The sequence below is a fragment of the Homo sapiens genome, chromosome 6 (assembly GCF_000001405.40).
Source record: "Homo sapiens chromosome 6, GRCh38.p14 Primary Assembly".
NCBI lineage: Eukaryota > Metazoa > Chordata > Mammalia > Primates > Hominidae > Homo > Homo sapiens.
This window is the reverse complement of record NC_000006.12, coordinates 158,176,804-158,199,627: the sequence shown is the minus strand read 5'-3', so window position 1 is coordinate 158,199,627 and position 22,824 is coordinate 158,176,804. Positions and strand designations below refer to the sequence as shown.

At 41.2% G+C, this 22,824-nt stretch overlaps 1 protein-coding gene across 1 annotated transcript in view, besides 3 other annotated features; it reads right to left on the bottom strand.

The window, feature by feature from the left end:
• The window catches only part of GTF2H5 (general transcription factor IIH subunit 5), a 30,995-nt gene continuing 8,454 nt past the window's right edge, over positions 284 to 22,824 (bottom strand). The window contains exon 3 of the mRNA NM_207118.3: positions 284 to 7,651. Within this exon, the coding sequence (NP_997001.1) occupies positions 7,471 to 7,651 (181 nt within the window). The 3' untranslated portion in view covers positions 284 to 7,470. The remainder of the gene's footprint in view (positions 7,652 to 22,824) is intronic.
• Positions 4,657 to 5,257: an enhancer, noted in NCBI's record as "OCT4-NANOG hESC enhancer chr6:158615403-158616003 (GRCh37/hg19 assembly coordinates)". NCBI's record gives its function as "activates a minimal SCP1, AML or CMV promoter by ChIP-STARR-seq in naive H9 embryonic stem cells {active_cell/tissue: H9 hESC(naive)}" and the evidence as "EXISTENCE:reporter gene assay evidence [ECO:0000049][PMID:30033119]".
• Positions 15,417 to 15,919: an enhancer, noted in NCBI's record as "H3K27ac-H3K4me1 hESC enhancer chr6:158604741-158605243 (GRCh37/hg19 assembly coordinates)". NCBI's record gives its function as "activates a minimal SCP1, AML or CMV promoter by ChIP-STARR-seq in naive H9 embryonic stem cells {active_cell/tissue: H9 hESC(naive)}" and the evidence as "EXISTENCE:reporter gene assay evidence [ECO:0000049][PMID:30033119]".
• Positions 15,920 to 16,424: an enhancer, noted in NCBI's record as "H3K27ac-H3K4me1 hESC enhancer chr6:158604236-158604740 (GRCh37/hg19 assembly coordinates)". NCBI's record gives its function as "activates a minimal SCP1, AML or CMV promoter by ChIP-STARR-seq in naive H9 embryonic stem cells {active_cell/tissue: H9 hESC(naive)}" and the evidence as "EXISTENCE:reporter gene assay evidence [ECO:0000049][PMID:30033119]".

Here is a 22,824-nt window from a genome sequence, read left to right as displayed (position 1 = left end):
TTGATTTTTTTAGTGGAGACAAGGTCTATGTTACCCAAGCTGTTCTGGAACTCCTAAGCTCAAGGGATCCTCCTGCCTTGGCCTCCCAAAGTGCTAGGATTACAGGTGTGAACCATCATACCCAGCCTGTTATTAACATTTTAATTGTGGCTACTCCTGAGTGGTGGGATTATGGTTGAGTTGTATTTTCTTTTGTTTCCCTTTTTCAATCTGCCTGCAATGAATGTGTATCGCTCATAAAAAGAGAACTTCAATTAAAAATAAAAACAGGCTGTGACAGATATAGTTTTTTTAAAATTTTTATTTTAGACTCAGGGGGTGCATGTACATGCTTGTCCCATGGATATATTGGGTATAGGTGGGGATTGGGCTTCTATTGTACACATTACCCAAAGAGTGAACACTGTACTTAAACGGAGTAATTTTAAAGGGAGTGCAACGTAACCAAAAGCTCAGTAGCCAAGATTAAATCATGTTGGGAGCAGCAGAAACAGGTTTTCAAGAAAGTAAATCAATTTTAGTGACGAATTTGACAAGCATTCCTAAAACAGAGAATTAAAAAGGAATGAAAATAATGAGATAACCACATAAAGGTGCTAATCATGGAGAATTAACAAATTTCTGAAGAAAACAAACAAGACAGGTATTAAAGTTGTTAACAGCTTATTCAAAAACGTCAAAAGAATTCTCCCCAAAGCAAAACAAAACAAACCCCGTTTGAAGAGATCAGGAAGACTCATGTATTCCAGGCAACATTAAGAAGTTTTAAAATTTCAAAGAAATAATTAACTGCAGGAAAGGGAGGGAGGGATGAAGAATGATGGCCAACTAGAAGAAGAACAGCTGGGTGAGAAAACAAGAGATGAGCCGAGAGAACGCTCCTGCAATCTAAACAGAAAGAGTTCTTCAGAAGTTAAGTCCAGGCCGGGCGCGCTGGCTCACGCCTGTAATCCCACCACTTTGGGAGGCCAGATTACTTGAGGTTGGGAGTTCGAGACCAGCCTGGCCAACATGGTGCAAACCCCGTCTCTACCAAAAATACAAGATTAGCAAAGTGTGGTGGCGCATGCCTATAGGGATGGCTGAGGCACGAGAATTGCTTGAACCTGGGAGGTTGCAGTGAGCCGAGTTTGCGCTATTGCACTTCAGCCTGAGCAACAGAGCGAGATCTTGTTTCAAAAAAAATAAAATAAAATAAAGTCCAAACTGGACTCAGTAAATGTCTGAGGACAGTGAAAAAATAGCCTAGTCTTTCAATGGATTGTGATCCAAACATTCGAGACTAATTATCATTCAAGAATGAAGGCAAAGATAAAAATGGTTTCAGAAATGTTAACCCTCCAGACAACTTTCCTGGTAGAGTTACTCAGAGACAGTTTTGAGATCAATGAAAGCATCAGACCGCTGGTGGACTAGCTACCCAATGCTCTGTTTTTAGGGATTCTCCTCCTTCATCTGTTAGTTTCTGCACGGCATTGTGAAAGTGGGGAAAACAACGCATATGTGTGTGTTTCTATCTTCCCCTTTATCATTGTACTCTTCTAGATTCAAGGTAACTCAGTTTCATAACGTTCTGCTTTATATCTGAGGGGACTTCAAAAAGTTCATGGAAAAATAGAATTAAAAGATAAAAATAAAATATAATTTCTTTTATTTCTCAACATAAGCTCCATTAAGTTCAAGCAATGATACCAGCCATTCAGTCTATCCCTAAAGAACTGAGGGTCCTGGGAAATTAACCATGTCTTTTTTATTAGCTGAAGAAAAACAGGTGCCCTTCAGGGATTTTTTTAAGATTGGGAAACAAAAAGAAGTCAGAAGGAGCCAAATCAGGACTGGGAGATGGATACCTAATGATTTTTGATAGAAATTCTAGCTAAACTGCCCTTGCTTTATGAGAGGAATGCGCAGGGGAACTGTCACGGTGGAAGACCCTCTGGTGAAGCTTTCCCAGGCGTTTCTCTGCTAAGCTTTGGATTTCTCTCGAAACACTCTCATAATAAGCAGATGATATCTTTATTTGGCCCTCCAAAAAGTCAACAAGCAAAATGACTTGAGGATCCAAAAAACTGTTACCATGACCTTTGCTCTTGATCAATCTGCTCTTGCTGTGACTGGGCCACTTCCACCTCTTGGTAGCCATTGTTTTGTATTTTGTCTTGAGGGTCATACTGGTAAAGCCATGTTTCTGTTACAATTCTTTTTTTTTTCTTTTATGTTTGCAAAATAATTATTTTACAGCTCAGCAAAAGAAATATTATTGGATATTTTGAGCATAACGACTCAGACAACTATAGAGTTTTTGAATGAGTAGTGACTATTTTGCATGACGACTGTGCTTTTCTTTCTGCATTTGGGTATCTTATTTAAATGTGTGTTAGTGGGTTGGTTTGGCTGCCATGTTAAATTCTTGTTGTATCTGGTCATTTTCTGAAGATGATCTCTCCCAAAATGATCTCAGTCCTTTCAAAATCACCAAGCAGTCTTTATACCTGTCTCTGAATTCAAGGTTTTAAAAGTCTGTTTTTGCTACAATTCTTTGAAGAAATGCTTCAGGATCTTGATCTCACTTGTTTGACATTTCCATCGAAAGCTCTGCTTTTGTCTGCAGCTGACCTGGGCTGGATGGTTTTGGTATCCATTGAGTGGAAAGTGTGCTCAACTTTAATTTTTCAGTCAGATTTATAAAAGCTGAACCAACTGAGGAGCATATTGTGTTGGCTATCGTTTCTGCTGTTAATCATTGGTCCTCTTCAAGTAGGGCATGAATGAGATAATTTTTTCCTCACGAAGTGGCATGGTCTGCTGCTGTAGGTTTCATCTTCAACATTGTCTTGTCCTTTCTTAAAATGAATTATCCATTTGTAAACTGATTTCCTTGGGGCGTTGTTCCCATAAACTTTTTGCAAAGCATCAATGATTGCACCATTCTTCCACCTAAGCTTTGCCATAAATTTGATGTTTGTTCTTGCTTCAGTTTTAGCAGAATTCATATTGTTCTGACAGGGGCTCTATTTAAACTGATATCCTTCTTAGTGCCTCAAACTAGATCCTGTTCAGACATGTTATAATGATGAGTTTATTTTGCTGCAAAGATTTTTGAAATCTATGCATAATTTTTTTCATAATATGCATTTTCCATCAACTTTTTGAAGACCTCTTGTGTGTTAACTCACATTCATTTTAATAGTCTTTAAAGACGGGCATTCCTGTTTACACAAATGAGCACAAAGAAATCCAATCAACGAAACATCTGAGATCCCAGAGCTAGTAAGCAGAGATCTGACACTTGGACTCAAGGAATCTAGATTCAATCAGTGCTTTTCATTTTTATTTTTTTTGAGATGGGTGGGAGTCTCGCTCTGTCACCCCGGCTGGAGTGCAGTGGCACGATCTCGGCTCACTGCAACCTCCACCTCCCGGGATTACACCATTCTCCTGCCTCAGCCTCCCGAGTAGCTGGGACTACAGGCGTCCACCACCATGCCCAGCTAATTTTTTTGTATTTTTAGTAGAGACGGGGTTTCACCTTGTTAGCCAGGATTGTTTTGATCTCCTGACCTTGTGATTTGCCCGCCTCGGCCTCCCAAAGTGCTAGGATTATAGACGTGAGCCACCGCGCCCGGCCCAGTCAGTGCTCTTAATCACTTGCCTATCTTGAGAACAGTGTTTTTAAAAAAGTTTATCCAATAATCTCATCCATAGACATTTCAGTGTTATCTTTGCTGCAAATGAAATTGAGCTACGTACACTTGAGAATATTTATTGACTATATTTGCAAACTGCATCATTTCTCCATCTTTAAAATATACCCCTTCCCCATCTGTTAAGTTTGTTAAGATAGAATGATCTCAGTATTTTAGTTACAGCAGAGGCTTTTTGTCAGAGCTTTTACTCCTAGTTGTCAGCTAAGTAAGATTTATTGTATAACTGCAAAATAGAGTAGTAAGTACACTACCAACTTCTCAGAAAAAAGTACAATTATGTCAAATCACCTGTTCTAGAAAATGTAAAGAGCAATAAAATCATTAATCATTTGGATTACCACCTATAATGCCTATCAGAAATAAAATGCAGTAGTGTTTGTTGCCTATTATCAGTAATGCTGTTACTGTTCACCAAAACTGATTTCTCAAAATACATTGTTATATCCATCAACTGTGATGTTAGATAGGATCCCTGGAATTTTAAATTAATCACATGAAATTTCACAAGGAAATTGGAATTCAAGGAATTAAGACCTTGAATTTGACCTAATACAGTATTAAAAGAAAAAACCTTTATTGAGAAATATAACACTCAATATCACAACTTCAGTCCATAGTTCTATTAAGAGACAAAGTTTCACTCTGTCATCCAGGCTGCAGTGCAGTGGCACCTTCTTAGCTTACTGCAGCTTCAAACTCCTGGGCTTCAGTGATCCTCCTGCCTCCAGTTAAGTCATTTTAATGCTACCTTTAGGACTTTATTTAAAAAAAAAAAAAAAGTCATAAATTTCTTGGTGCCAAGCACCAACAGCCTTGTTCTGGACATGTAAAGTATGCCAAATCAAATAATGCTAGTCAGATTCCAATAAACAGCCTAGGTGAATGTCGCTTATTTCCTGTTCACCCATAGTTGGACATGTCAGCTAAGTGGTTACAGGTGGGCTTCCTATCATTCACATCACTCTATCTTTCTTAATAATGTCCAGAGAAAGAAAGATATTTAACATTTGCCCCAACACAACTTTTTAAAAATAAGAGCTCATATTTTCCTTCACTTATTTCACTTAATACTCTTTGCAGTTCTAATACCTAACCTTGTTTTTACTAACCTTGTTTTCAGACTGTCCCTTTCTCCCTTAATCACCTAGCCTTGTTTCCATGTGAATAAGCTCTCCCTTAGCTGAGAAAGCCGGAGGAACTCCATTTGGTTCCTTCATTTACAGGACATCAAGGACTCCTTACCCACCCCCTTTCCTCAAGGAGTTAACTTGTGTAAGCTGACTCTCAACATATCAAAGAGTCCAATTAACTCATAAGGTACTGAAGCAAGCAATGTACGAAGTTCCCAGGATTTCGCTCAAGAGATACACCATAAAGCCTTGAGTTTGTGTCTGGCAGAGCCCCCACACCTGACATCTTATGATAGATTTAGAGCCCCTGCACCTGGAACTGTTTGTTTCTCTGTAACCATTTGTCTTTTTAATTTTTTGCATGTTTTTACTTCTGTAGAATTGTTGCAACTGAGCTCCCGTCCCCTTCCTAAACCAAAGTATAAAGGAAAATCAAGCCCCTTCCTCGGAGCTGAGAGAATTCCAAGTGTGAGCCACCTCTTGGCTGCCAGCTAAATAAAGGACTTTTAAATTCGTCTCAAAGTGTGGCGTTCCTCTAACTTGCTCGGGTACAACACAGTCACTGTTCAATAGTTTTCTCATAAATATCTTTTTTTCTCTTTTTTACTTCAGTGGCAAAAATCCTAATACCTTTTGAACTCTGGGATTCTATCAAAAATTTTCTAAGTTTCATGTTAATATAAAAGGTTGGTGACAAATGCCTGAGGCATACTAAAAGTTGATTTAGACATGCCTGAAATATAAGATACATTAGTAACATTTTGGTATAGCTGGAAATTCATTTTTTTTTTTTTTTTTTTTTGAGATGGAGTCTCCCTCTGTCGCCCAGGCTGGAGTGCAGTGGCACAATCTCAGCTTACTGCAAGCTCCGCCTCCCGGGTTCACGCCATTCTCCTGCCTCAGCCTCCTGAGTAGATGGGACTACAGGCACCCGCCACCAGGCCCGGCTAATTTTTTGTATTTTTAATAGAGATGGGGTTTCACCGAGCAGGATGGTCTCGATCTCCTGACCTCGTGAGCTGCCTGCCTCAGCCTCCCAAAGTGCTGGGATTACAGGCGTGAGCCACCGTGCCCAGCCTGGAAATTCTTAAGAATCATCTTTTACTTAACTAGTTTTAGTAGTAGTAACTCATCAAAATTTTTTGCATTGCTATGAGGGAATGAAAACTGTGAACTGTATGGACTGAGTTATATGGGTGGGAATTATGTAAAATATACCTAACTGAAAATTTCCAGATTCAGTAATGCTGTGTAAGTGAATAAATATGGTACACAGGTGCTTTGAATAAACATACCATAAGGAAGCAGGTAAAATGGATTTGTAAGAGTCTACAGGTCATGAAAATTCTCTTTTCTCTTGGAAAATTCCCTTTACAGGAACCCACCCCAATGACATGATCTTCAGGAAGGGAAGCAAAGCCCCTCTCAGTGTTACTGTTTTTGCCTTCAATTGATCACAGAACTCTCTCTTGCTATATATACACACATACATATACACTTTTTTTTTTGGAGACAGGGTCTCACTCTGTCACCTAGGCTGGAGTGGCAGTAGCAATGATCAAGGTTCACTGCAGCCTTGACCTCCTACCTCAGCCTCCCCAGTGGCTGGGACAACAGGCAGATTTTTGTATTTTTTTTTTTGTAGAGACAGGGTTTCGACTCCTGGACTCAAGCGATCTGCCTGCCTCAGCCTCCCAAAGTGCTGGGATTACAGGTGTGAGCCACTAAGCCCAGGCCGCAATGTATTTTAATCTAATATGTCCTTTCCTGTTGGGCTGACTTTGCATATGGCTGTTCCTATTTTTCTTTTTTAGATAAGTTTGATAAGTATTCTCATAGGGAATAAGGTACAAGTAGAATTTTTTTTTTTTTTTTTTTTTTTTTTGAGGCAGGGTCTCTCTGTTGTCCAGGCCAGAGTGCAATGGTGTTTTTGTAGCAACCTCGGACTCCTGGGCTCAAGCAATCCTCCCACCTCAGCCTCCCTAAGCTGTTTTCTTAATAAAAAAGAATACAGATGGGAAAATGTGACCAACAAAGTTTGAACAAGGAAAAACTAAACAAAGCAGCATGTGCCTTTCCCACTGGTTGTTTCTAACCCTCTTAAAAACAATATTCTGTTTTCAGGGAAATGCAAACTGTAGTTTACATTAGTTTTACATTGTCTTCCTCAATAGAGCTGACTGGTATGCAGGTAGGATTTGTGAGACGTACATAATGTCTAAGTCCCCACCTTGGCATATTCAAACAGCAAATCTATGACGTTTCTAACTGAAACCAAACAATCACATCCACGCAGCAAAAATGCACAGATCACAGGGATGAGCAAAATAAATACCTATGTTACACTGACATGGTATTAAAAAGGCAGGAAAAGCATTGACATTTGTATTTTAATAAAGGATAATAAAAGCCAAATTACAGCCAACTGTTAAAGCTTTTTTTTTTTTTAAATTCTATGGTAACAAAATCAGTTCAGGGGCTTTTTTTCTGAACAAATGATCATGATCCCTCAGTCTTTCCCGTGGCATGCTCCTAAAACAACCCTCTATGTCTAATCAGTCACCTAAGATATTGAGTGGCAAGTCTTTCACAGTTGCTGCTTATAATTCCTAAATGGTCCATATTGAGTATTTTCATTTCTGGGTAAGGGAAAAAGCATTTTGGTCCATTAATTCACCCACTCGCTCCTGGAGGACATTAACCAATTCTGCTATTACAAAGACGTGAGTGTCATCAATGTCTTGAATGATGAACTTCTTCCCCAGGGCATTGGACTCATCCAAGTACAGCAGAAACTGCTTCATGGCAGGATCACTGTAAAGACAAACACATGATTGTAAGACAGCTTGTTGTCAAATCACATCACAGAGACTTGAGCAATTAAATGTGAACATGTAGAATTTTTAGAATGATTTTTAAAGTTCTGTTACTCAATCCCTCACTTCCTCTCTGCCTCAAGTGTTAACAATTTATAGACATGGCTTCATTTTAGAACTATTAGTGTAAGTTGGCCGGGTGCGATGGCTCACACCTGTGATCCCAGCACTTTGGGAGGCCGAGGTGGGTGGATCACCAGGTCAGGAGATCGAGACCATCCTGGCTAACACGGTGAAACCCCGTCTCTACTAAAAATACAAAAAATTAGCCGGGTGTGGTGGCGGGTGCCTGTAGTCCCAGCTACTTGGGAGGCTGAGGCAGGAGAATGGTGTGAACCTGGGAGGCAGAGCTTGCAGTGAGCGGAGATCGTGCCACTGCACTCCAGCCTGGGCGACAGAGCGAGACTCTGTCTCAAAAAAAAAAAAAAGAACTATTAGTGTAAGTTGAAGAGGCAGAGGCCAATGGCAAGATTTTTAAAGAATAATTTGTCACTAAGTGGAAAAAATAAAAGAATATTGAAAGCTTTGTAGTTAGTAGGGCCTAGAATCACAGCTTTCTTAACTGATTTAAACACTGAATTTCTTCCTTGTCTATGCCCATTACATCTAAGGAACCAGTAGGTGTTCAATGTTTTACCAGTGACAAATTAACTTACAAAACCAGTTAAACAGTCACTTTGGTCAGGCAGGGTGTATATCAAGAGTCATACCTGGATTCAACCCCAGCTTCATCACTTACTTGTGTGACCTTGAATAGAATAGGTACTTAATCTCCCAGAGCCTCTGTTCCCAACCTCAAAAGTGAGGCTACATAACAGAATTGTTTACGGAAATTAAAGGAGATAATGTCAAGGACAGTGCTTGGCTTGTAATAGGCATTCAAGGAAAGAGGTCCAAATTCAATTTTATTAACTTGTGGTTTTTGGTTTGGAAAGAATAGGATAGTCATAAGGGAAAAGAGGGATACAATTTCTTCTCGGGCAGTACAGATTTACAGCAAAATGTCTCTTTCATAAAAACCTTGAATCATGACAAAGGACACTCTTTAGATCTAATACACAATGTGTTTAGCAAAAAATGAATATAAAAATGTCAAGCTGCACCACAGATTTTTGCAATTCTTGAGAAAAAAATCTCATATAATCTTTTGGTGTCTTGAGAAATGTCAATATCAATTGTAAAGGTAACAATTTAATCCAAAAGATGTCACTATAATTTACTGAAAACAAGAAAAATAAGATTTAAGTACAAGCACAGGTATTAACTGATGCTAACACGGGATTTACTTCTATCCCTAGATGAGTATGAGCCTCAGAACTGATTTGGGGGACTTTGGGTTTTACCAAGTGACATGATTTAACTTACAAACTGACTTAAATTTTAACTGTAAGGATCATATTGGCTGCTGGGTTGAGAAAAGACTGGGAGTGGCAGAGGCAAGGATGGAAGCAGGGGACCCATGAGGTGACATCCAGGCAAGAGATGATGATTTTGATGTAGGTGGTAATAGTGGAGGTGATGAGAAGTGGTTGAATTCTAGATATATACTGACATAAAACCAACATAATTTGCTAATACTGGACATGAGCTTTGAGAAAGAGGAACAAGAAAACTCCAAGATTTTTCATCTGAGCAAATGGAAGACTGGAGGAGATTTTTACTGAGATAAAGAGGAATGTGTAAGATCTGCAGGTAAGATCAAGTTTGGTTTTAGGGTGGGCATGGTGGCTCATGCTGTAATCCCAGCACTTCGAGAGGCCTAGGCTGGAGGACTGCTTGAGGTCAGGAGTTAGAGACTAGCCTGGACAGCACAGTGAGACCCTGACTCTACTAAAAAAAAAAAAGGTTTAGTTTTTGATGTTATATTTTGAGATGCCTACTGGCCCCTGAGTGAAGAAGCTGAGTAAGAAGTGACCACCGAGGTAGAAAGAAAACCCAAAGAGTCCTGAAAGCGATGTGAACAAAGGCTACTCAGGAAGTGGGAGTGATCAATTCTGTCAAAGGCTTATAGGGTATAGCAAGGGCTGAAAATTGATCCCTGGATTCAGAAAGTCACTGGACCTTGGCAATAGCAGTTTTGGTGGAGTCATAATAGGGAAAGCATGACTGGAGTGGGTTTCATATGGGAGGAAAGAAATTAGAGACAGTGAAGAGAACCAAGTCTTCTCTTTACTGAGAAATTTTGCTACAACGACCAGAAAGGTAGACTGGAAGCTAGGAAGAGGTGTGGGACTCTGAACAGATGGGAATATCAACAGACCATAGGTCTGGCGAAGTTGAAGAAATGATGGAGTGAGGTATGAGAGGGAGTGAACTGGAAAGAGGAGGTGGTGGTCAGAGTCAGATGCCTGAAATGAGACTGAAGAGCTGGCACGAGGGTAAGGAAGGATAGGTCTAGCTACAACTATGTGAATGAGTGGCTGTGATGAGGTGGAGGACAAGCTCAGTGGAAGAGGAGGCCAGGGAACTGGGAGAACAGGGTATCTAAAGGACTACCCACACGGATACTAACATCACTAAGGATTTGAGAGAAGAGCTACTGAAGATAGTTTTTTCAAGGGAAAACCTTCAGGACAGATTGGGGTGTCTGTAGATGATTATAAAGAGGAGGGTTGGTGGGTAGTCCACTCTGATGATCTGGGATTGATAACTGGGGGTTTCTATGGAAGAGGGAGGGAGAATTTCTGGAAGTGGCAATAATAAGCAAGGTACTGATCCTGTTTCCTGACCCAATGGTACAAGAGGGTGCCTTTGTAGAGGAAAAAAGGCACCACCTGATAAGGTGGTGGGAGAAGCAGTGAGCTCAGGACAAAGTCAGGTTTTGTCACAGCAAAAAAGGAAAAGGTGGGTGGGGGAAGGAAAAAGGAAAGTTCAGAGAAGAGGCTGAGGCTACAGGGCATCCTGCTGCTGCCATCTCACTATGTCCCAGAGGGCAAAGTGGAAAGGATTGCGGTGGGTAGGTGGGGGAGGGTGGTGGGTAGGAGATGGTGAACAGGGCCATAGATCATGAAAATGCAAGAGACAGAGATAGCTTGGGAGTCTGTGGTTTATTGGGTGACTGAAAAAAAGGAAAAATCGGCATATAAGGCTTAATGAGAATGAGGATCTCCGGGATGACACTGACATGCAACTGAATGGCAACAACAGCTGGTGACAGGAGGATGAATGGGGTATTTTACAAACAGAGCATAATGGTCACTGATTTAAGCAGATACAAAAAAATGTTAAACTTCACATTTTCAGCAATTCTCTAATTTGAGTATTATACAGAATAAGAATTTAAATGAAAAGATTTTCTAGAACAGTAAGACACTGTACACTGAGAAATTTCAGAGGTAAACAATTGATTAATTATTGACAAAGAGCACAGGTGGAAACATAAAATAGAAAAAAGCTTGAAGAGCAATTCTAGAAGGAACGTGGGGTTGATGAAGCAGGTTAAACAGGGTGCTTCCCGATGATATTGCAGAAAGGAAAATGAGGCCTATAGGACAGAGAAACCAAAGTTTCAGTTTCTTGAAAACCATTGTTTTTCTACTCAGACTCTTTAAAAATTTAGTTGTTTCCCTCAAATCTTCCTTGCACATACAAATAAAGGTAGAAGGGGAGGGACTGGTGGGGAGAATAAAAGGAGAGTAATTCAACAGTAGACAGGTATGATGGCTGGGGAGGGGAGAGTCAGACAAAAACCTGGACTTCAGTGCTCTACAATTAAGCTTTCCTTGCAAACAAGGGAGGACTCATATGACCGTGGTGCCCACTTCACTCTCCAGGCCCCACAAGTACTTCAATATATTCTATAAAAATCATAGAGGTTTCTTAGTATACACTTTACACAATGGGATTGTAAACCAAAAATAAAGTTCTAAGCACCCCACCCCCCATCTGCCAACTGACTGATGGACCCTCCCCTTGGCTAAGGGCATTCCAAAGTTAACCTGAAAAACTAGTTCAGGCCATGATGGGAATGGGGGTTGGGCATGCCTCATACCCACCTCCCTTTGAATTCAGGCATAGCTGACCAGTATTAACATTAAAACAGAGATCTTGGCCGGGTGCGGTGGCTCACGCCTGTAATCCCAGCACTTTGGGAGGCCGAGGCAGGCGGATCACGAGGTCAGGAAATCAAGACCATCCTGGATAACACGGTGAAACCCCATCTCTACTAAAAATACAAAAATTAGCCAGATGTGGTGGCAGGCACCTGTAGTCCCAGCTACTCGGGAGGCTGAGGCAGGAGAATGGCATGAACCTGGGAGGCGGAGCTTGCAGTGAGCCAAGATCGCGCCACTGAACTCCAGCCTGTGCAACAGAGCGAGACTCCATTTCAAACAAACAAACAAAAAAACAGAGATCTTAAGACCCAGGTAACAGACTTTTTGTAGGAATAAAACACCAAATTCCAGCTTGACTTTTGTAAAGCATCACATGGCAGATGGCAGGCCCTGAAAGAAATTGTATTTTACACCAAAATATGTTTCTTTGACATATTTTGAGACGGCCCTGCAAAGCTGTCTCTTGTGGGAATAATCGACTCTGTAGAGACTCTCCATTCCTTTCCAGGTCTTTTCCCTGATCCAGGGGAGTCTGGCACCTTTTTAGGTCTGATAAGAGCTCTGGGCCAGGTGCGGTGGCTCACATCTGTAATCCCAGCACTTTGGGAGGCTGAGGTGGGTGGATCACCTGAGGTCAGGAGTTCGAGACCAGCCTGGCCAACATGATGAAACCCCGTCTCTACAAAAAAATACAAAAATTAGCCGGGCGTGGTGGCAGGCGCTTGTAATACTACCTACTCAGGAGGCTGAGGAAGGAGAATCGCTTGAACCCAGGAGGTGAGGGGTGTAGTGGGCCGAGATCACACCATTGCACTCCAGCCTGGGAGACAAGAGGGAGACTTCGTCTAATAAGAACAAAACAAAACAAAACACAAAACAAAACACAAAACAAAACAAAAACAACTCTGAAGCCTGCTACCTGGAGACTTCATCTGCGTGATAAAACCTTGGTCTCCACAGCTCTTTACCTTAACCCACACATTCCTTTCTATTGATTCCAGGTCTTTAGATAATAACTCTTTCAATCAACTGCCAATAAGAAAATCTTTGAATCTACCTATGACCGGGAAGCCCGCCCCCCATTCCCCTTGCTTTGAGTTGTCCTGCCTTTCCAGACTGAACCAATGTACATCTTACATGTATTGATTGATATTTTGTCTCCCTAAAATGTGTAAAACCAAGCTGTAGCCCGAACACCTTGGGCACAAGTTGTCTGGACCTTCTGAGGATATGTCATGGGCATGTCCTTAACCTTGGCAAAATAAACTTCAAAATTGATTGAGACTTGTCTCAGATACTTTTTGATTTACAGGACCAACAGTTGTTTTGTGTTAGCCCTTTAAAATAAACTTTGGATCCAAATGTAACAGTAATAAAAGACAAACTGGACATTGAAACATTGCTGTCTGCATGTGATAGATTAACTTGTTACAGTTTGAGCTCAGTACATTCAGATGACACCAATTTATTCTCAGTAACTGGCTACTACTAACAGGTATTAAAGGCAGCAAGAGTTAAGTGGTTATGAAGACTTTGGGAATTTTCTAAATGGAATAAATTTACATCATCTTAATGAAGTCAGAGCTAAACCACTAAAACCAAGAAGCGCCTCAGGACTCATATCTGTGCTGAATCATCACACCAATGCTTTCAAAATGTTTGCCATTTGTATACCATCCTTGCTATTTTAGCCATCTCTTGTAACATCTCTGTTGCAAATCACTTAATATTTTTCTTTAAATTGCCTTTAAATCAACTAACGTTTCATCTGGCATAAAACCAAGAGTTTGATATGTCAGTTTCCTCTTCTCCTCAAATAAATTAAACTGGTCATATAAAAAATTTTTTTGCTCTCTTTATTTTTTTTGAGACAGAGTCTCACCGTCACCCAGGCTGGAGGGCAGTAGGCGTCATCACGGCTCACTGCAGCCTTGACCTCCTGGGCTCAGATGATTCTCCCACCTCAGCCTTCCCAGTAGCTGGGACTACAGGCACATGTCACTGCACCCAGATTTTTTTTGTATTTTTTTGTAGAGATAGGGTTCTGTTATGTCGAACTCCTGGACTCAAGCAACCCACCCGCCTCGGCCTCCAAAAGTGTTGGGATTACAGTTGTGAGCCATTGAGCCTGGCCTATTTTTCTATTCTACTCCCCCAAAATGTATGTTCTTCAAATCATCTTGAACACTAATGGTATTCCGCACACTTGGGGAAATATGCTAACTGACAAATGAGACAGCTTAGAGGAATGACTGGCCAGTGAACACTGAAATAACGCTTTAATATCAATCGCTTCAAACTTTTTTTTTTTTTTTTTTTGAGACAGGGCCTCACTCTGTTGCCTAGGCTGGAGTGCAGTGGCACAATCCCAATTCACTGCAGCCTCAACCTCCTAGGGATGAGGTAATCCTCCCACCTCAGCCTCCTGACTAACTGGGTCTACAGGCGCACGCCACCATGCCTGGCTAATTTTTGTATTTTTTGTAGAAATGGGGTTTCACCACATTGCTCAGGCTGGTCTTGAACTCCTGGGCTTGGGCGATCCTCCAGCCTCGGCTTCCCAGTGTTGGGATTACAGGCGTGTGCCACCGTGTCTGGCATGCCTCAAACTTTTGAAAGACAATTTGAGATTGAATTTTCAAGCATGTACCTGAAGTAAAGATAACATGTAATGATTTAAAAAGACTCTTTAATTATTAAAAAAAAAAAAAAGACACTCAAAGTTTAAGGGACATTTTGTCATGAAACACAAAGAGCCTGGAATATTCCTATCTGAACACAGAGCCATTCCACTTCTATATTGAGAGTAGCAGAAAAAAAAACAAAACCCAAAGCCAAGAGCATATATACATACTTGAAGTCCCAGGATCAAGGCTATTGTACAGAAAAGAAACAACTTTGCCCTGGAAGTGTGAAGGGCAGATATCATGAAACCTTCTCCTAAAGAAGCTTAGTATAGCTCCTATAAAGTATGACTCTGAAAAGGATTATAGCATGATAATGGTATAATGGTAACCAGGATGATGCAGTGAGCTGTAAAATAGTCTGGTCAAAGCTGTCAGCACTGACAATCCATCAGAACAATCTTGGCTTAGTCAATGGTAAACTATCTTTCTTGATAATAACTGGCCAACAGATATTACTTAAAAAATTTTTAAGTATTACTCCATAAATTCCATATATCCTGGGAGTAGACTGTCTTAGGTTTATTTCCCCTTTAAAAGCATTTTCCAAAGTGTTTTCTGAGTCTGGGTTTTGTTCAATCTGAGATATGGGTGTCTAGATTAGAGCCCAGAACATTATAGGTGCTCAATAACAATTTGGTACATGAGTAGGGTCTTAAGAGAAGAGACACCATAGGAGACATTAAGTTAACCAGAAACACAGCTACCATTTTCCCAAGAAAACATATAATAGGGGTTTTACTGTTACAAAGACACAAAAGTCTAAAGAGAGTACTGGACCCAGAAAGCCTAGCCCCAGACCCCAGCTCTGCCAACCAAAATATGTATAATGTATAAAGTTACTCAACCTCTCAACTTCTCAGGCTTCTAACTAGAAATGAGAACAGGAATTCGATGCGGCTCCTCCTTCACATGTTTTTCCTTTTTTTTTTCCTTTTCTTGTCCCACTGATCAGAAAACCCAAATCACTACCTTGCTGGTGATGTACCCGCTAACCCCAAGGCTTTAATTATACAAAGAAAATAGCCATTCTTCTGTGCTCTCATGTGTAACCATGCCTTTTACTTAGGAAATCTAAGTATCAAACCAAGGTTGTGGAGTGTCCCACCTTGGAAAATAAAGCTGAACAACTGAGTCACTTCCAAGATGGCCAAATAGGAACAGCTCTGGTGTACAGCTCCCAGCAAGATCGACACAGAAGACAGGTGATTTCTGCATTTCCAACTGAGGTACCTGGTTCATCTCATTGGGACTGGTTGGACAGTGGGTGCAGCCCATGGAGGGCGAGCCGAAGCAGGGCAGGGTGTCGCCTCACCCAGGAAGTGCAAGGGGTCAGGGGATTTCCCTTTCCTAGCCAAGGGAAGCTATGAGTGACTATACCTGGAGGAGCAATACACTCCAGCCCAAATGCTGCACTTTTCCCACTGTCTTCGCAACAAGCGGACCAGGAGATCCCCTCCTGTGCCTGGCTCGGTGGGTCCCACGCCCACGGAGCCTTGCTTGCTGCTAGCGCAGCGTCTGAGATTGACTTGGGACACCGGAGCTTGGTGGGGGGAGGGGTGACCGCCATTGCTGAGGCTTGAGTAGGCGGTTCCATGCTCACAGTGTAAACAAAGCAGCAGGGAAGCTCAAATTGGGCAGAGTCCACTGCAGCTCAGCAAGGCCTACTGCCTCTCTAGATTCCACCTCTGAAGGCAGGACATATCTGAACAAAAGGCAGCACACAGCTTCTCCAGACTTAAACGTCCCTGCCTGACAGCTCTGAAGAGAGCAGTGGTTCTCCCAGCATGGCATTTGAGCTCCGATAATGGATAGACTGCCTCTTCAAATGGGTCCCTGACCCCCATGTAGCCTGACTGGGAGACACCTCCCAGTAGGGGCTGACAGACACCTCATACAGGCAGGTGCCCCTCTACGATGAAGCTTCCAGAGGAAGGATCAGGCAGCAATATTTACTGTTCTGCAGCCTCCACTGGTGATACCCAGGCAAACAGGGTCTGGAGTGGACCTCCAGCAAACTCCAACAGACCTGCAGCTGAGGGTCCTGTCTGTTAGAAGGAAAACTAACAAACAGAAAGGAGTAGCATCAACATCACCAAAAAGGACATCCACACCAAAACCCCATCCATAGGTCACCAACATCAAAGACCAAAGATAGATAAAACCACAGAGATGGGGAGAAACCAGAGCAGAAAGGCTGAAAATTCCAAAAACCAGAACACCTCTTCTCTTCCAAAGGAACACAACTCCTCACCAGCAAGGGAAGAAAACTGGATGGAGAATGAGTTTGACGAGATGACAGAAGTTGGCTTCAGAAGGTCGGTAATAACAAACTTCTGTGAGTTAAAGGAGGATGTTCTACCCATCGCAAGGAAGCTAAAAACCTTGAAAAAAGTTTAGACGAATGGTTAACTAGAATAACCAGTGTAGAGAAGAGCTTAAATGACCTGATGGTGCTGAAAACCACAGTACGAGAACTTCGTGAAGCACATACAAGCTTCAATAGCCGATTTGATCAAGCAGAAGAAAGGATATCATTGATTGAAGATCAAATTCATGAAATACAACAAGAAGACAAGATGAGAGGAAAAAGAATGAAAAGAAATGAACAAAGCCTCCAAGAAATATGCGACTATGTGAAAAGACCAAATCTACGTTTGATTGGTGTATCTGAAAGTGACGAGGAGAATGGAGCCAAGTTGGAAAACACTCTTCAGGATATTATCCAGGAGAATTTCCCCAACCTAGCAAGGCAGGCCAACATTGAAATTCGGGAAATACAGAGAACACCACAAAGATACTCCTCAAGAAGAGCAACCCCAAGACACATAATTGTCAGATTCACCAAGGTTGAAATGAAGGAAAAAATGTTAAGGGCAGTCAGAGAGAAAGGTCAGGTTACTCACAAAGGGAAGCCCATCAGACTAACAGCGGATCGCTCCGCATAAACCCTACAAGCCAGAAGAGAGTGGGGGCCAATATTCAATATTCTTAAAGAAAAGAATTTTCAACCCAGAATTTCATATCCAGCCAAACTAAGCTTCATAAGTGAAGGAGAAATAAAATCCTCTACAGACAAGCAAATGCTGAGAGATTTTGTCACCATCAGGCCTGTCTTACAAGAGCTCCTGAAGGAAACACTAAACATGGAAAGGAACAACCGGTACCAGCCACTGCAAAAACATGCCAAATTGTAAAGACCATCGATGCTAGGAAGAAACTGCCTCAATTAATGGGCGAAATAACCAGCTAGCCTCATAATGACAGGATCAAATTCACACATAACAATATTAACCTTAAATGTAAATGGGCTAAATGCCCCAATTGAAAGACACAGACTGCCAAATGGGATAGAGTCAAGACCCGTTGGTGTGCTGTATTCAGGAGACCCATCTAATGTGCAAAGACACACATAGGCCCAAAATAAAGGGATGGAGGAAGATCTACCAAGCGAAAGCAAAGCAAAAAAAAAAAGCAGAGGTTGCAATCCTGGTCTCTGATTAAAAACAGACTTTAAACCAACAAAGATCAAAAGAGACAAAGAAGGCCATTACATAATGGTAAAGGGATCAATTCAACAAGAAGAGCTAACTAACCTAAACGTATATGCACCCAATACAGGGGGACCCAGATTCGTAAAGCAAGTTCTTAGAGACCTACAAAGAGAGTTAGACTCCCACACAATAATAACAGGAGACTTTAACACCCCACCATCAATATTAGACAGATCAATGAGACAGAAAATTAACAAGGATATCCAGGACTTGAACTCAGCTCTGGACCAAGTGGACCTAACAGACATCTACAGAACTCCCCGACCCAAATCAACAGAATATACATTCTTCTCAGCATCCCATCACACTTATTCTAAAATTGACCATATAATTGGAAGTAAAACATTCCTCAGCAAATGTAAAAGAACAGAAATCACAACAAACTGTCTCTCAGACCACAGTGCAATCAAATTAGAACTCAGGATTAAGAATTCACTCAAAACCACACAACTACATGGAAACTGAACAATCTGCTCCTGAATGACTACTGGGTAAATAACAAAATTAACGCAGAAATAAAGATGTTCTTTGAAACCAGTGAGAACAAAGATACAACGTACCAGAATCTCTGGTACATATTTAAAGCAGTGTGTAGAGGGAAATTCATAGCACTAAATGCCCACAAGAGAAAGCAGGAGAGATCTAAAATCGACACCCTAATATCAAATTAAAAGAACTAGAGAAGCAAGAGCAAACAAATTCAAAACCTAGCAGAAGACAAGAAATAACTAAGATCAGAGCAGAACTGAAGGAGATAGAGACAAAAAAACCCTTCAAAAAAAAAAAAAATCAATGAATCCCGGAGCTGGTTTATTTTAAAGATCAACAAAATAGATAGACCGCTAGCAAGACTAATAAAGAAGAAAGAGAGAAAAATCAAACAGACACAATAAAAAATGATAAAGGGGATATCAACCCGATCCCACAGAAATATAAACTACCATCAGAATACTATAAACACCTCTATGCAAATAAACTAGAAAATGTAGAAGAAATGGACAAATTCCTGGACCATACACCCTCCCAAGTCTCAACCAGGAAGAAGGTGAATCTCTGAATAGACCAACAGCAGATTCTGAAATTGAGGCAATAATTAATAGCCTACCAACCAAAAAAAGTCCAGGACCAGATGGATTCACAGCCAAATTCTACCAGAGGTACAAAGTGGAGCTGGTACCATTCCTTCCGAAACTATTCCGATCAACAGAAAAAGAGGGAATCCTCCCTAACTCATTTTGAGGCCGGCATTGTCCTGATACCAAACCCTGGCAGAAACACAACAAAAAAAGAGAATTTTAGGCCAATATCCCTGATGAACATCTATGCAAAAATCTTCAATAAAATACGGGCAAACCGAATCCAGCAGCACATCAAAAAGCTTATCCACCACGATCAAGTCAGCTTCATCCCTGGGATGCAAGGCTGGTTCAACATACGCAAATCAATAAATGTAATCCATCACATAAACAGAACCAATGACAAAAACCACGATTATCTCAAAAGATGCGGAAAAGGCCTTCGACAAAATTCAACAGCAGAAAAGGCCTTCGACAAAATTCAACAGCCTTTCATGCTAAAAACTCTCCATAAACTACGTATCGATGGAATGTATCTCTTATTATCTCATAATAAGAGCTATTTATGACAAACCCACAGCCAATATCATACTGTATGGGCAAAAACTGGAAGCATTCCCTTTGAAAACCGGCACAAGACAAGGATGCCCTCTCTCACCACTCCTATTCCACATAGTATTGGAAGTTCTGGACAGGGCAATCAGGCAAGAGAAAGCAATAAAGGGTATTCAGATAGGAAGAGAGGAAGTCAAATCATCTCTGTTTGCAGATGACATGATTGTATATTTAGAAAACCCCACCATTTCAACCCAAAATCTTAAGCTGATAAGCAACTTCAGCAAAGTTTCAGGATACAAAATCAATGTGCAAAAATCACAAGCATTCCTATACACCAATAACAGACAAACAGAGAGCCAAATCATGAGTGAACTCCCATTCACAATTGCTACTAACAGAATAAAATACCTAGGAATACAACTTAACATGGGATGTGAAAGACCTCTTCAAGAACTACAAACCACTGCTCAAGGAAATAAGAGAGGACACAAAGGGAAAAACATTCCATGCTCGTGGATAGGAAGAATCAATATCGTGAAAATGGCCTTACTGCCCAAAGTAATTTATAGATTCAATGCTATCCCCATCAAGCTACCACCGACTTTCTTCACAGAATTGGAAAAAACTACTTTAAACTTCATATGGAACCAAAAAAGAGCCCACATAGCCAAGACAATCCTGTGCAAGAAGAACAAAACTAGAGGCATCACGCTACCTGACTTCAAACTATACTACAAGGCTACAGTAACCAAAACAGCATGATACTGGTACTAAAACAGATATATAGACCAATGGAACAAAACGGAGGCCTCAGAAATAACACCACACATCTACCACCATCTGATCTTTGACAAACCTGACACACACAAGCAATGGGGAAAAGATTCCCTATTTAATAAATGGTGTCGGGAAAACTGGCTAGCCATATGCAGCAAACTGAAACCGGACCCTTTCCTTACACCTTATACAAAAATCAACTCAAGATGGATCAAAGACTTAAACATAACACCTAGGACCATAAAAATCCTAGAAGAAAACCTGGGCTTCATTCAGGACACAGGCATGGGCAAAGACTTCATGTCTAAAACAAGAAAAGCAATGGCAACAAAAGCCAATAATGACAAGTGGGATCTAATTACACTAAAGAGCTTCTGCACAGCAAAAGAAACTATCATCAGAGTGAACAGGCAACCTACAGAATGGGAGATTTTTGCAATCTACCTGTCTGACAAAGGGCTAATATCCAGAATCTACAAAGAACTTAAACAAATTTACAAGAAAAAAGCAAACAACCCCATCAGAAAATGGGCAAAGGATATGAACAGACACTTCTCAAAAGACGACATCTATGCAGCCAACAGATATATAAAAAAATGCTCATCATCACTGGTCATTAGAGTAATGCAAATCAAAACCACAATGAGATACCATCTCACACCAGTTAGAATTGCGATCATTAAAAAGTCAGGAAACAACAGATGCTGGAGAGGTTGTGGAAAAATAGGAATGCTTTTTTTTTTTTTTTTTTTTTGAGATGGAGTCTCGCTCTGTCTCCCAGGCTGGAGTGCAGTGGCACAATCTTGGCTCACTGCAAGCTCCACCTCCTGGGTTCATGCCATTCTCCTGCCTCAGCCTCCTGAGTAGCCACCATGCCTGGCTAATTTTAATAGAGACGGGGTTTCACCGTGTTAGACAGGATGGTCTCGATCTCCTGACCTCGTGATCCGCCTGTCTTGGCCTCCCAAAGTGCTGGGATTACAGGGATTACAGGTGTGAGCCACCGCGCCCAGCCAGGAATGCTTTTACAATGTTGGTGGGAGTTCAACCATTGTGGAAGACAGCGTGGCGATTCCTTAAGGATCTAGAACTAGAAATACCATTTGACCCAGCAATCCCATTACTGGGCATATTCCCAGAGGATTATAAATCATTCTATGATAAAGACACATGCACATGTATGTTTATTGTGGCACTATTCACAATAGCTAAGACTTGGAACCAACCCAAATGTCCATCAATGATAGACTGGATTAAGAAAATGTGGCACATATACACCACGGAATACTATGCAGTCATAAAAAAGGATGAGTTCATGTCCTTTGTAGGGACATGGATGAAGCTGGAAACCATCATTTTCAGCAAACTATCACAAGATCAGAAAACCAAACACTGCATGTTCTCGCTCATAAGTGGGAGGTGAACAATGAGAACACATGGACACAGGGAGGCGATCATCACACACCAGGGCCTGTGGGGTGTTGGGGTCTAGGGGAGGGATAACATTAGGAGAAATACCTAGTGTAGGTGACGGGTAGATGGGTGCAGCAAACTACCATGGCACATGTATACCTATGTAACAAAACTGTACGTTCTGCACATTTAACCCAGAACTTAAAGTATGATAACCACTGCAACCACAGATGCTGACCACATACTGTACCCTTCATGTGCTTTACCCAGCGCAGCCTGCATACCTTATCCCTGATGTCAATTCCCATGCTTTGCCTAATCAAAAAGTCCCCATCAGCTTTTTTGGGGGTCAGCCGCAGAGTTCTTACTACTGTACTGTCTCCCTTGCATTTGTGGATAAACCCTGAAATAAAAGCCTCATCTGGGAAAACTGTATAGCTCTGTGTTAATTTTTATTACATAGGGAGCCAAAGAGCCTGTGATCTGTAACAGCAATGTTAGTACCATAGCTACACTGCAAAGTTGATGGACTACAGAATATTTCTAAAACATCTTGCTCATAGTAGGTACTCAAATGAGCAATTAAAATGCCAAGACCATGTGAGAGGATATAGGCAGAGAGGTTTAAATTACAATTAGTTCTATCCCTATCAAATGATTTACTGTTGGGAACAGGCACCCCAAAATCTGGCCATAAACTGGCCCCAAAACTAGCCATAAACAAAATCTCTGAAGCACTGTGACATGTTCATGATGGCCATGACACCCACGCTGGAAGGCTGTGGGTTTACTGGAATGAGGGCAAGGAACACCTGGCCCACCCAGGGCGGAAAACCGCTTAAAGGCTTTCTTAAACCACAAACAATAGCGTGAGTGATCTGTGCCTTAAGGACATGCTCCTGCTGCAGATAACTAGCCCAACCCATCCCTTTATTTTGGCCCATCCCTTTGTTTCCCATAAGGAATACTTTTAGGTAATCTATAATCTATAATC